At 45.9% G+C, this 14,237-nt stretch overlaps 5 annotated features.

Annotated features, from left to right (window-relative positions):
- Positions 8,127-8,666: an enhancer, noted in NCBI's record as "H3K27ac-H3K4me1 hESC enhancer chr1:235123287-235123826 (GRCh37/hg19 assembly coordinates)". NCBI's record gives its function as "activates a minimal SCP1, AML or CMV promoter by ChIP-STARR-seq in primed H9 embryonic stem cells {active_cell/tissue: H9 hESC(primed)}" and the evidence as "EXISTENCE:reporter gene assay evidence [ECO:0000049][PMID:30033119]".
- Positions 8,667-9,206: an enhancer, noted in NCBI's record as "NANOG-H3K27ac-H3K4me1 hESC enhancer chr1:235122747-235123286 (GRCh37/hg19 assembly coordinates)". NCBI's record gives its function as "activates a minimal SCP1, AML or CMV promoter by ChIP-STARR-seq in primed H9 embryonic stem cells {active_cell/tissue: H9 hESC(primed)}" and the evidence as "EXISTENCE:reporter gene assay evidence [ECO:0000049][PMID:30033119]".
- Positions 8,667-9,746: a biological region, named in NCBI's record as "NANOG-H3K27ac-H3K4me1 hESC enhancers GRCh37_chr1:235122747-235123286 and GRCh37_chr1:235122207-235122746".
- Positions 8,950-9,244: an enhancer, noted in NCBI's record as "tiled region #12837; HepG2 Activating DNase unmatched - State 1:Tss, and K562 Activating DNase matched - State 8:EnhW". NCBI's record gives its function as "activates a minimal TATA promoter and a strong SV40 promoter by Sharpr-MPRA in HepG2 cells, with weaker activation in K562 cells {active_cell/tissue: HepG2 | K562}" and the evidence as "EXISTENCE:reporter gene assay evidence [ECO:0000049][PMID:27701403]".
- Positions 9,207-9,746: an enhancer, noted in NCBI's record as "NANOG-H3K27ac-H3K4me1 hESC enhancer chr1:235122207-235122746 (GRCh37/hg19 assembly coordinates)". NCBI's record gives its function as "activates a minimal SCP1, AML or CMV promoter by ChIP-STARR-seq in primed H9 embryonic stem cells {active_cell/tissue: H9 hESC(primed)}" and the evidence as "EXISTENCE:reporter gene assay evidence [ECO:0000049][PMID:30033119]".

Genomic DNA, 14,237 nt, shown 5'->3' with positions numbered 1-14,237 from the left:
TATATATATACATATATACATATATATATACCTATATATACCCATATACCTATATACACATATATATACCTATATATACCCATATACCTATATATACACATATATACCTATATATACACATATACCTATATATACACATATACCTATATATACACATATACCTATATATACACATATACCTATATATACACGTATACCTATATATACATATACCTATATATACATATATCTCTATATATACATATATACCTATATATACATATATCTCTATATATACATATATACCTATATATACATATATCTCTATATATACATATATACCTATATATACATATATCTCTATATATACATATATACCTATATATACATATATCTCTATATATACATATATACCTATATATACATATATACCTATATATACATATATATACATATATATCTATATATACATATATACCTATATATACATATATACATATATATCTATATATACATATATACATATATATCTATATATACATATATACATATATATCTATATATACATATATACATATATATCTATATATACATATATACACATATATATCTATATATACATATATACCTATATATTCACATATATACCTATATATACACACATATATATGCACATATATACACATATATATGCATATATATATACACACACACACACATACACACACACACACACACACACACACACACCTATACATATATACCTTTCTCTGATGGCATCCCTAAGATAAACTGTAAGATATATTTTTCCTGGGATATCAGAGAGACGATTGTAAACCAACTGCAGATTCTGTTTACCTTGATGAGTTCATGAGCTTCCTTCCACCTCTGATTTTTCTAATGAATGCATTTTGCCCAGGCCTTGATAGAAAAACTACTTTGAAAACAGTCTGCTTCAGGTCTCCCCCATAGGGATGATGCTACATTAGAGGATCCTTCCTCCAAGCACAGCCTGCCCAGGGAGCTTGTTTTTGATGGATGTCAGTGGGCTGGATGGCTTCCTGGGAAGTTCGGAGGAAGTGGACTCCCTCCAGGACAGAGAGCTCTTGAGGTTCTGGGCATGGGGTGGAGCCCATCCAGGTGCCCTGGTAGCCCTGAAGCCCGCCTGGCCTCTGAGAGACATGTGTGGTGCACGCATTTCTAACAGAACACCGGTTAGAGGGTGGGGACCAGGTGGAAAATATATTGAGGACAGCCTCTGCCCTCCAAGAATTCTCTCTTTGCTATGAGAAGCAGAGCCACCCCCACCAAGCATTCCCCTGCTGCCGTGAGAGGCAGCATCAAGTGGGTCTGTGGGAAGGGGTCCTGGTGGGATCTGGCTGACAGGAGGTTTCTGCTTCCTTCACTTTCTTCTTGGGAGGAAGTCAACATTCTCCGGCATCCACTCGTTCTGAGGAGTTAGCAGGGGCTGGTTACAGACGGTTGTGCCGGTGGGAGAAGGTTCAGGGTTGAGTTCTGGAGGGAAGGCAGGGCATGAATTGGCAAGAAATAAAATAAAGAGAGGAAGTTAAAAGGAGCACTGAGGTGAGAGAGAGGGAGAGGGGTTCAGCATGACACACTCACCGTCACTGCCAAGGGTTGTTGGTGAAACGCTGAGCTTCTTGGGGCCTGGGTGTCCTCATCTGTAATGAGAGGGCCTAGGAGAAAGCTCACCTTCTAGCTGGTTCTCTAAGTAGCATGAGTTAAACTGGAAGAAAATGTGTGCGTGTGTGCATGTATGTGTTCATGTGTGCCTACAGGTGTGTGATGCATGTGAGTGAATGTAGCAAAAACATAGTCTTTTAGATTTAGGATCAACTAGTATGAGGCATCCTTGCCAGTCCTTGTGCGTCTCTGCTGAACACGTATTTACATCGGGACAGTGCTGGGTGGCTCAGGGCTGGAGCCAGATAAGCCAGGTGTGGGGCCAAGGGGGTTTGCGGAGAAAGTTTAGTTCACCGTGAGAACCTGGGGCCCAGCTTTGAAGGCCTCCAGGGCCCACTCTGAATAGAACTCGTGATCCCAGGAAGAGAAGTGCTTGGTTTGAGTCTGAGAAGCCAGTGGAGGTTCAGATCAGCTTGCGTGACCGTCACTCTGCAGGAACAGGGAAAGTAAAGTGTCAGACCCAGGACCTGGTGATTTGCAATGAAACCACCACAGTATGGCTGGGGACAGACCCTGGCAGGAGGCAGGATTCCATCCTCCTCCACAGGCTACCTCCACGCTGCATCCTCTTCCCCAAGGTTTGCTGGGAGTGAATGGACCATGGTCCCCATCACTGGGGGGCCTTGTCAATCATTCTGGCTTTTAGTTCTAGAAAGGAAAAACCAACACCAGGCACAGCTGACTTCTCCCTTCATCTTCATGAAGGTCCCTTTTCCTTGAGTTCCATGACACCTTGTTGCTTTTTATTCTGTTCCCCTCAGGCCACAACTTATGAGAATCCTTTGTTGGAGAACTTGTTCCTTTAATTGTGGGTGTTCTTTTTTTTTTTTTTTTTTTTTTGAGATGGAGTCTCGTTCTGTTGCCCAGGCTGGACTACAGTGGTGTGATCTCGGCTCACTGCAAGCTCTGCCTCCCGGGTTCAAGCGATTCTCCTGCCTCAGCCTCCCAAGTAGCTGGGATTACAGGCACTCGCCACCACACCCAGCTAATTTTTGTATTTTTAGTAGAGACGGGGTTTCACCATGTTGGCTAGGCTGGTCTCGATCTCCCGACCTTATGATCTGCCCGCCTCTGCCTCCCAAAGTGCTGGGATTACAGGTGTGAGCCGCCGCGCCCAGCCATTGTGGGTGTTCTTAGCACTCTATCCCTGGCACATTTCTCATTTAATCTTGCATTCACCCCTCAAATCATCCCTGTGGCTTCCAATACCATTTCTATGCCCATATGACTTTCAAATCACCATCTTCTGCCCACCCAGCCTTCTCAGCTCTGGACCTGAGGTCTCACAGGTGCACCCACCTCCACATGCCCCAAACGGAACCCAAGGCCATCTCCCTTCCTGAACCTGCTCCTGCCCTGCAGCACCCCAGCTTCATAAACAGCAGCACCCTTCACCCTGGTTCTCAGGCTGGTACCTTGGGCTTCTTCCTCCATATCCTACTTCCTCCCATGCCTCACCTCCAGTAAATTCCATGTCTGTTCAATTCCAATAAAGATAATAGCTGGCTGGGCATGGTGGCTCATGCCTGTAATCCCAGCACTTTGGGAGGCCAAAGCAGGCGGCTCACAAGGTCAGGAGATCGAGACCATCCTGGCTAATACGGTGAAACCCTGTCTCTACTAAAAATACAAAAAACTAGCCGGGCGTGGTAGCACATGCCTGTAGTCCCAACTACTTGGGAGGTTGGGGCAGGAGAATTATTTGAACCCGGGAGGCAGAAGTTGCAGTGAGCTGAGATCGTGCCACTGCACTCCAGCCTGGGCAACAGAGTGAGACTCTGTCTTAAAAAAAAAAAGAAAAAAAAATTAGCTGGGTGTGGTGGTGTGTGCCTGTAATCCCAGCTACTTGGGAGGTTGAGGCACAAGAATTGTTTGAACCCAGGAGGCGGAGGTTGCAGTAAGCCGAGATCACGCCACTGCACTCCAGGCTGGTGACAGAGTAAGACCCATCTCAGAAAAAAAAAAAAAAAAAGACAATAGCTGATGTTGGCTGAACACTGGCCATGTGCTCAGAGCTTTATAAGCAGAGTCTCCTCTAATCCCTGCCCCCCAACTCTCTATACAGTTGACCCATGAACAATATGGGCTTGAACTATGTGAATCTACTTATACGCAGATTTTTTCCAACTAAATGCGGATGGAAAATATAGTCTTCACAGAATGTGAAACCTGCATATAGAGCAGGGGGACATTTCATACCTGCAGATTCTGCAGGGCTGACTGCAAATTTGAGTATGTGCAGATATGAGTATACATGGGGTTGCTGAAACCAATCCCCCTCGTATACTAAGAGCCAACTGTAGCAGGAATTCATATCACATTATTTAGCATATGAAGAATCTGAGGTGTGCAGGGGCTTACTGACTTGCCTGAAGTCCCAGAGAGATTTAACTCAAGACCATGGGATCCTCAGACTCTCCAGGTTACCAGATACCCCTGAACCTCCATAGGGGCTGGTGCACTGCTTCTCGCCTGGGTATTGGCCCTGCCTCGTCTCTTCTGCATGCAGTAACCAGAGGGAACTCTCAAAATGAAACACTGATGTTGTCACTCCTCTCCCTGAACCCTTACAGTCTCCCCATTGCTCCTGAAACAAAGTCCTTATTTTTCTTTGAGATGGAGTTTCACTCTTGTTGCCCAGGCTGGATGGCAATGGCATGATCTTGGCTCACTGCAACCTCTGCCTCCCAGGTTCAAGTGACTCTCCTGCCTCAGCCATAGCTGGGATTACAGGCATGTGCTACCACACCCGGCTAATTTTTGTATTTTTAGTAGGGTTTTGCCATATTGGTCAGGCTGGTCTCAAACTCCTGACCTCAGGTTATCCGCCCACCTTGGTGTCCCAAAGTCCTGGGATTACAGGCACGAGCCACCATGCCAGGCCCAAAGTCCTTATTTTTCAACAAACATTAGTTACAGGCATTGAAGACCCTGCGTGAATGAGACATGTTCCTGCCCTCATGGAACTTACATTCTAGACTGATGACAGGTAATAACTGAATAAATAGACAACTTAATTGCATAGAGTGGTAGGTGATACTGAAGAAAATAAGGCAAGGTAAGGGATGGAGAGTGATCTGGGAGGGGTGAGTATTAGGAGAGATGGTCTAAGAGGGCCTCCCGGGGGAGATGAGAGTGAAGCTGAGATGGAGTGAAGTTAGCCCCTGCAGTAAAGGGAAGGAGCATTATAGCTGAAAGCGAAAAGCCTGTGCAAAGGCCCTATGGTAGGAATGAGCTTGGAGTAATTGAGAAATAATAAGAAGGCCTGGGTGGTGAGAGCTGTGTGAGAAACATGGAGAGTGACAGGCAGAGGGGCTGACTGGTAGCCAGGTAGCCCTGGCTGGCCACACTAAGGAATTTGACTCTTATTTGGGATGTGATGGGAGGGTTTAAGTGCACACCAGGAGGTATAATAACCTTCTGGCTGCTGTGTTGGGACTGAGTACGTGGGTGGTAGTAGAGAGAGCAGTGAGAAGTTTCCTTTCATGCTCCAGGGGAGAGACGATGGTGAGGAGGTGGCAAGAAGGCACAGTCCTGGTTGCAGGTGTTGAAGCTTAAGCCATCCTCTCTGAGTGAGGGGTGGCGGATGGAGAAGGGAAGAGTGGAGTCAGGATGTCTGGTGGCCTTTGCTCTGAGTTTACTAAATTAAGGGATGAGGGTATATGAGTCTGAAGCTCTGGGGTGAGGTTGAGGCTGGAGATACAAATTTGAGGGGTGCCTGAAGACCACAGAGTGAGCTCAGTGGGTCCCGTGGTTGATCCCCTGAGTCTAGAAGACTCTTTGGAGGGCTTTTTGTTACAAAGGAGAACAGAGCAATGGAGAGTGTTATGGGAAAAATTGTGTCCATCTCAAAGGATGCTGAAGACCTGACCCCCAGTACCTGTGAATGTGAGCCTATTTGGAAATAGGGTCTCTGATGATGATGAAGCTGAGGTCATTAGGGAGGGCCCTCATCCAATATGACTGGAGGAAATTTGGACACAGACACAGACACACACAGAGGGAAGGTGATGTGAAGACACACAGGTTAATGACAGCCATCTCCAAGCCAAGGAACGCCCGAGGCTACCAGAAGCCAGGAGAGGGGCCAGGGCTTAGAGCCTCCTTCACACTCTCAGAAGAAATCGACACTGCCAAGGCCTTCATCTTGGACTCCCAGGCTCCAGAACTGGGAGACAGTCAGTCTCTGTTGTTTAAGCCATCCAGTCCGTGGTACTTTGTAACAGCAGCCCCAGGAAGCTAATAAAAGGAGATAGCTGGCACAGATGCGGAATTCTTAGTTTTTTTTTTTTTTGTTTTTTTTTTTTAAATAGGGAAGACAGAATAGCATGTTTATAGGAAAACGGGAATGATCAGTGTTGAGGAAAAACAGGGCATGTGGGAGAGCAGAGGGAGGGTTCTCTGCAAGTCACCAGGCTCTCCGTGTCCCGGGTGTTTTGCACACGCGCCACGTACTACCTGCCCTAGTGCCCACCTGTCCGGGTCTCAGCTGATGGCTCCACCTCTCCAGGTAGGTCTGGAACTCTCCTTTGTGCTCACCACTTTCTCCATTTCTGCACTGCCACCCTGTCTTGCAACTGGTTGTTGAAGGCCTGCATCCTGCCTCCTCCCCTGCCCCAAGCTCGGTGGGGACCCAGGCATGGATGCTGTGTCTTGCAGAGAGCCCAGCCCACGGTAGGAACTCCATGAACACTATTTACATTTTGTTTGGTTTTTGAGACAGGATCTCACTCTGTTGCTCAGGCTGGAGTGCAGTGACGTGATCATGGCTCACCGTAGCCTCAACCCCCTGGGCTCAAGCGATCCTCTCACCTCAGCCTCCCCAGTAGCTGGGACTACATGCATGAGTCACCATACCCAGCTAATGCTTTTTCATTTTTTGTACAGACAGGATCTCCCTATGTTGCCCAGGCTGACCTCCTGAGCTCAAGTGATCCTTCCACCTGGGCCTCCCAAAACGCTGGTGTTACAGGCCTGAGCCACTGTGCCCTGCCATGAACACTGTTTGAATGAACAAATGTGATGTCCTTCTGGATTGCTTTTGTCCACATGGCACTGATTTTAGAGCTCATTTTGGAAAATCGGTCCTGGAATGCCACTCCAATCTCTCCACCCACACACGTTGGTTTTGACCCAGGTTTATTCAATGCTTTGGGGGGCTATAAATCTGGAGACAGCTCCACCAGGAACTTTTAACTGAGGGCAGCCCCTGTGAACTGCCTAACCTTGAGCAAGTTACTTAACCTCCATGACCTCTGGTTTTTCCATTAGTCAAACAGGGCAAAGAACTGCCCTTTCTCTCCCTTACAATGGAGGATGTGGTAGCTTAGGCTAAGTTCTGAAGCAGAAAAGTGGGCGGGTGCATTTGTGACTCTGCATTGACTCTAAATTAAAGGCACAATCAATGGTTCTCAGAAAAGAGCTGTATATACACGGCTCTGCATGTACAGAGAAGGAGAAGGCTTAGTCACTCAAGATTCTTTATTCGCGACTCGGAAACTTTAAAACATTTAATTAAATGTTTAAAAAGCTGTGGTAAAATATAGACAACATAAAATATACCATCTTAACCATTTCTAAGTATACAGTTCGGTAGTGTTATGCACATTCATGTTGTTGTACAACCATTACTACCCCCGTCTCTAGAACTTTTTCATTTTGCAAAACAGAAATAACTCTAGGAACCTCAAATACTTGTGATCATGCAGTATTTGTCCTTTTGTGACCAGCTTATTTCACTTAGTATCATGCCTTCAGGGTTCATCCATGTTATAGCAAGTGCCAGAATGTCCTTCCTTTTTAATGCTGTATAATATTCCACGGTGTGGATTTACCACGTTTGGTTTATCCATGCATCTGCTGATCTTTTGGCTATTACTGAGTCACACTGCTATGAAACTCTGAATTTGATATTATGGCTCCATTTAAAGGCCTTTCTGGGCCAGTGGTTTGATTCATTGCAGGGCACAAGAAACCTGGAAGAATCTTGGCTGTAGCTCCTAACACTCTATGCTTTTAACTATTCTTTAACACAGGCAAACACTGAGGTCTTTGTTGCTAGAATTAAACATGAGATAATTTAAGGTGTTATAATTTGGGAGTTAAGACTATTTTTTTTTTTCCTGGAAGATCATCTGTTTCATCTCCACTTGACTTTTTTAAAATGCTGGAACTGTCTTTTGATTGAATACAAAGCCTTTTTTTCCCCCTTGACGTTTATACGACTAAAGGTGGAAAAATAAGACCTTTGCTTATTAACAAAATGAATCAATCTCTTTCCCCCATGGGAACTTGAAAACAATTTAGAGACTAGAGTAAACTTCAGGTTTTCCTCTGCTATGAATTGTGTTGACCTTTCCTCCAGGTAAGATGTAAGACAGGCCTAGCTGGGCCTGACAGAAAATGAGGTCACCCCAGGTACCACCCGATTGAGCCCTGGCTGGAAGCGCCTTGCTCTGTAAGCCTCTTTAGGCGCCTCCAGAGAGAGGAAAGTTGAGGCTGGAGGGGTAAAGTGTGCTAGCGAAGGTCAGCCGGGGAGACAGAGACCAAGGGAAAATAGTGCTTAACTTTGGGCCCTTAATGAGGTTGCAGTGGACCATGCTCCAGGCAGTAAATCCTCAAAGGCAGTGGGGCTTACTGTGTGGGGTTCTTTTTTCCCTTTCACTTCGTAGGTGCCAGATGTATTTGGGGAAATTCCCCATAAGATGGGTACAAGGTTAACCCCTCCTTTGTCTGACCGGTTTGCATGTTCCACCTGCAGAGGCGGTGAGGACCCTGGAGTTTCCAGCCCTCTCGCCTGTGCAGTCTGATCTCTGGGCCTGCCTGTGGGACTGGCTCCTGACTGGGAGTGTGAAACGCAGAATAAACAAAAGCAAAGAGACTGTGTGTTGGAAACGGGACTGCAGGGCTGAGAAGATACTCGGAAAAGTGGCCTCAGGCCAGCTCCTACTCTTTCCAAATATGCCAGGAATGCCGGGCCCAGAGGCAGGGGACAAAACAGGAGAAAAGAAGGAAAAAGAACAGGCGTCACCAGGCCATAGTCTAGCCAGTCTAGTTGTCAAAACAAAGCAGAAGAGAACCTCTAGCTCCAAATAAAAGTGGATCAAGAAGTTTCAGAACTCAGCAATGATTGTTACTAAAGTTTGCATGTAGAGATCCTGCACCCCGGCATCCACCCCTGCCTAGGGCTTTGCTGGGGGCATCACGACACAGGGTAGGGAGCCCAGCAGAGCCCAAAACAAATGCCTAAGTCTTCTCAGCATCCCATTTGTAGGTAAGGAAGCAACTCAGAGGACCCCTCGGAGAAAGGATTTGTTTAGTACACGCGGCACAGAGCTAGCTGCTTGGGGCTGGGGATTTGATCTATGCGTGGTTTCCCAGTTTGAGATGGAGGATCATGACAAGGGACAAAAGGTCAAAGGGTACACCAATGGGGTAGAAAAGCAAAACAAAAACAGGAAGTGGCCGGCTCAGGGATTTTCCATGAGAAAGCTGGGAAACAGGTCCCGGTAGAAAAGAGTGTCAAAAACCAGAATGACAAAAAATTTAGCTTAAAGACCTTGATTGTCTTGATTTGTGATTCTGGCATCGAACAACACTTCATTCCACACAATGGAATAAGTGTTCCCTGAGCTGAGCTGAAGAGGTTGGCTTTGTAGACAGAGAAGGACTGAAGAAAACAGAAACAGGGAACAAAGATTGTATTAGTTACTTTTCAATGTTACTTGTTCTTGTAAGGAGGGCACAGGGAGATAGAACAATAGAAAAATAACTCGTTAGTTAACCTTGGGTGACTTCATGCTACCTTTTTTTGTGGTAGGATTAAAGCAGAAAGAACTTCATTATCATTCTGATTGAAGATTTAAACGGGCCTTTTGGGAGATTGGCTGTTCTCTCTCTCCATTCTCAGAAGGTCAGATAACAACCTTGTTTTGGTTTGGTGGTATGGAACTTTAGCGTGGGTGACTCCAGTTTGATTTTTTTTTTTTTTTTTGAGACGGAGTCTCGCTCTGTCACCCAGGCTGTTGTGTAATGGCACGATCTTGGCTCACTGCAAGCTCCGCCTCCCGGGTTCACGCCATTCTCCTGCCTCAGCCTCCCGAGTAGCTGGGACTACAGGCGCCCGCCACCACGCCCGGCTAATTTTTTTGTATTTTTAGTAGAGACGGGATTTCACCGTGTTAGCCAGGATGGTCTCGATCTCCTGACCTCGTGATCCACCCGCCTCGGCCTCCCAAAGTGCTGGGATTACAGGCTTGAGCCTGTAAAAACCGCGCCCGGCCGATTTTTTTTTTTTTTTTTTTTTTTGAGACAGGGTTTCACTCTGGTGCCCAGGCTGGGTTGCAGTGGTATGATCTCTGCTCACTGCAACCTTGACCTCCCAGGCTCAGGTGATCCTCCTGCCTTGGCCTCCCGAGTAGCTGAGACTACAGGTGCACACCACCACACCTTGCTAATTTTTGTTATTTTTTCTAGACATGGGGTTTTACCATGTTGGCCAGGCTGGTCTCAAACTCCTGGGCTCAAGGATTCGCCTGCCTCAGACTCCCAAAGTGCTGAGATTACAGGTGTGAGCCACTGTGCCTGGCCCATGTTGATTTTTAGTCTGGTCTGTTGGGGCCTAGTGTGGGAGCTTGGTTCAAAACAATGGCCTCCTATAATTTTTATATAACAAGAGAAAAAGGAAAAAAATAGCTCATTGAATCCTCTGGAAGCCGCTTGAGATGTGAAATGGGGGCCTCCCGCAGGAGCCAGCTTGTCCAGGGACTGGGACACCCAGGTGGGAGACAGAGTGGAGGACTCAATACCGGCTCCTTGCTGGCCTGACGCCAGCCTGGTCTCTCCCTCCTCCACTGTCCTCTTGGAAGGAGGGCTTTGTTACCTCTTGTGTCCCTTAGAGAAGTGTGTTTGTGTATGTCCTAATGCCAAAGCATGGAATGGGGTCTAAAACAGCCCAGAGAAGGCATTTGCACCCCAAAGCTATTATCCACAGATGGGATTTCTGCTGCATAGGGTCAGAGAGTATTCACAACTATCATTGCACAAATGGAAAAACTTTTTTTTCACCTGCCTCTCACTTTTAGAACCAACTGACCCAGTCCTTTTGGTACCAGAATTTGGAAGGGGCAAGGCCCAAGGGTTGTAGGTGGGTGAGGGTCTGTGGAGCAGGAGAGTGACATGTCTCCCAGGGGACACCAGGACAAATGGGATCTGACAAATGCAGAGGACCAATGTCCTGGATCCCAGGCCCGGTGCTTTGTACACATTGCAAGGCCTGACCCGGTAACAGAGGAGGTGCTGAGTACTTCTCAACTTGCATTAAAGTGCTCCCTGGGCTGGGCGTGGTGGCTCACACCTGTAATCCCAGGCAGGCGGATCACCTTAGGTCAGCAGTTCAGGACCAGCCTGGCCAACATGGTGAAACCCTGTCTCTACTAAAAATGAAAAATTAGATGGGTGTGGTGGCACGTGCCTGTAGTCCTGGCTACTCGGGAGGTTGAGGCAGAAGAATCGCTTGAACCCAGGAGGTGGAGGTTGCAGTGAGCCAAGATCGTGCCACTGTACTCCCCGTCTCTACTAAAAATAAAATATTAGCCGGGTGTGGTGGCACGCGCCTGCAGTCCCCACTACTCGGGAGGTTGAGGTGGGAGAATCGCTTGAACCCGAGAGACGGAGGCTGCAGTGAGCCGAGATCGCGCCACTGCACTCCAGCCTGGGCGACAGAGTGAGACTCAGTCTCAAAAAAAAAAAAAAAAAAGTGCTCCTTGGCCACAACAGGAGAAAAAAATCTCCAGTTCCCTCCTAGCCTCGCTCCACCTTGAGATCTTATTTTAGTCTCCAGTTAATCAAGGACGTCTGGGCTTCATGCGAAAAGGGAAGAATGTGCCAGTGTGTTTCGAACACCATATATGCAAATGAGTCAGCAAAGTATGTTGCTGGCAGCCACCAGAGGTCAAATGTCAGCCTCCACACTCAACAATTATTTTGCTGAAAATACACTGCAAGCAGGGCAGCAGGAAATGAGTTGCAGCAACCTCGATTCTTGTGTGAAAGTTTCCAATTAGGAATTCAAAGAAGTTGTTGTTTAATGAAAAAGTGAAACGAATGCCTTTTATGTGCCTCTCCACTTCCTTGGTGGTCCCTGGCTAAGTGCTGGATCCATTGCCAGGAATATGGATGTCATTCAGTTCACCCGAGAGCAGGGGCAAGCAGCATCTAATGTAATAGAAAGGAAGTTGATCGGATCCTTAGGTTTTGGGGTTGGCAAACCTGGGCGAAATCTGGCCCACAGCTTGTTTTTGTAAATAAAGCTTTATTGGAACACAACCATGCCCGTTTGTTCACATTTGATCAATGGCTGCTTTCACAGTACAAGGGCAGAGTTGAGTAGCTGGGAGAGAGACCATGCGGCCTGCAAAGCCCAAAATATTTACTCGATGGAGCTTGATAGAAAACATCTGCTAACCCATGCTTTAGTTCATCCATTTTTAGTTTTCCTTGTGTGATGGGACCCCTTTGAAATATAGTGAAAGCTCTCTCTCTATCCCCTTTCAGAAAAATACATGACTTTCTGGTTAAGAATGCTCACATGTAACTCTAACTAGACTCTTCTACAGGGCCAGAGGCCATCATAGTATATTCTGGACCCCTCACAGGAACCGTTTATGATGGTATGAAGGACATCTTCCACACTAACACCCACCCCTGCCCACTGTACTGGTGCTAGATGCATTATAGCAAAAGCAACCTTGGATTACAGATGAAGAGACACAAGCTCTCTTGTGTCTGCCACCCTTATGCTGTGTGACCTTGAGTAAGTCACTTCACTTCTCTGAGCCTTGGTTCCCTCAAACGTCAAACGAGGAGTCCAAAATACATGACTGCCTACGGATCTTTCTGGCTTTAGGTTTTTGTGATCTCCAAGGGTCTGGAATTTATTTCTGGAGCTGAGGAGAGAGAGAGGTTGTGAGTTATATATTTTCAAAACGTCTGAATTTGCTTGGCCACCCAGAGAGGTCTGTGGTAGTTAATTTAGTTAATTCCAAGCTGGGATTTGATTACCACACTGGATACTTGGCACCTGTTGGAGAAAACTCTGCCATGTCCCTGTCTCTACCCCTCCACCCCTGGTCAGCCATCCTGATCCATCAGGTTGCCACACAGGGGCTGCGTAAGAGAGTGTGAACATAATTCAGTTCAGCCTATCAGAGCTCTGGAAAAACAGCTTAGGACCCACGACCTTCTGGTGGAATGTCCGCAGAAACATCTTCCATCAGAAAGAGAACATGTAAAACTTATCTTGCACAGATATGATCTGTTAGGCAAACAGCTTTTAGATTTGTGTTGCATTTGGTTTTAAAATGAAAAGAAATGTGTGTATATTTTCTCTCTTTTTAAATTTTTTTTTTTTTTTTGAGACAGAGTCTTGCTCTGTTGCCCAGGCTGGAGTGCAGTGGCATGATCTCGGCCCACTGCAACCTCCGCCTCCCTAGTTCAAGCGATTTTCCTGCCTCAGCCTCCCGAGTAGCTGGGATTACAGGTGCATGCCACTGCGCTGGGCTAATTTTTGTATTTTTAGTAAAGACGGGTTTTTACCATATTGGTCAGGCTGGTTTCGAACTCCTGACCTCAGGTGATCCACCCACCTCGGCCTCCCAAAGTGCTGAGATTACAGGCGTGAGCCACCACGCCAGGCCAATGTGTGTATATTTTCTGACTGTAAGTATGCTTCATATGTATTGTAGGCAATTTTAAGACATACAGAAAATGTGAGGAAAGTAAAAATCATCCCCAAATCCCACTCTGCAGAGGTGACCACTGTCAACGATTTGATAAGCCTCCAGGTGTCTCTTTTATGAATACGCCCTCACAACAACATTTTTACATAAATGGGCTGCAAATGTTGTATCAGCTCCTACTTTTTATCTATCAGAATGATCCATGTGAATATCTTCCTATGGCTTTGGATGTAGATTTCCAACATTATGTTTAATGGTTGCATAGCATATGATTAAACATACTATAAGTCACTGACTCAATCACTTCTAGGTTGTTTCAGCTTTATTTATTTTTTAGATTTATTTGCCACACTGTGATGACTATCTGTGCAATTTTTTTCTGGTGGCTCAACTGAGAATAAATTCCTAGTTTTAAAATTAAGAAGACAAAGAGTACTCATGAATAATTTTAATGTACAGGGTCAAATTTCTCCCAGAAAATGTATAACACTAAACATCTACCAATAATAAGGAGAGTTCCCATTTCCACACTCTCTGGCCAACACTAGCCATTGACAATATTTAAAGTTTTGGCCAATCTGATAGGTTAAAACTGATGTTTTATTGTTGTATTGATTTGCCTTTCCTAGATCATTTTACTTTTGAATGGTACTGTTTATGGTTAAATAGAGGCAAAAATAATGACTTCATATGAGGATATCATTACTACATGAGGAACTAAGGCTGGCATGAAGGCAGACATATGTTATTCAGAGAGCCATGGTGCCAGGTGCCTAGCACAGAACAGTTTGATAACCATTTGAGGGTAATAATATT

Source organism: Homo sapiens, chromosome 1 (assembly GCF_000001405.40).
Source record: "Homo sapiens chromosome 1, GRCh38.p14 Primary Assembly".
NCBI lineage: Eukaryota > Metazoa > Chordata > Mammalia > Primates > Hominidae > Homo > Homo sapiens.
The sequence above is the reverse complement of the archived record's forward strand: the minus strand, read 5'-3'. Positions and strand labels throughout refer to the sequence as shown.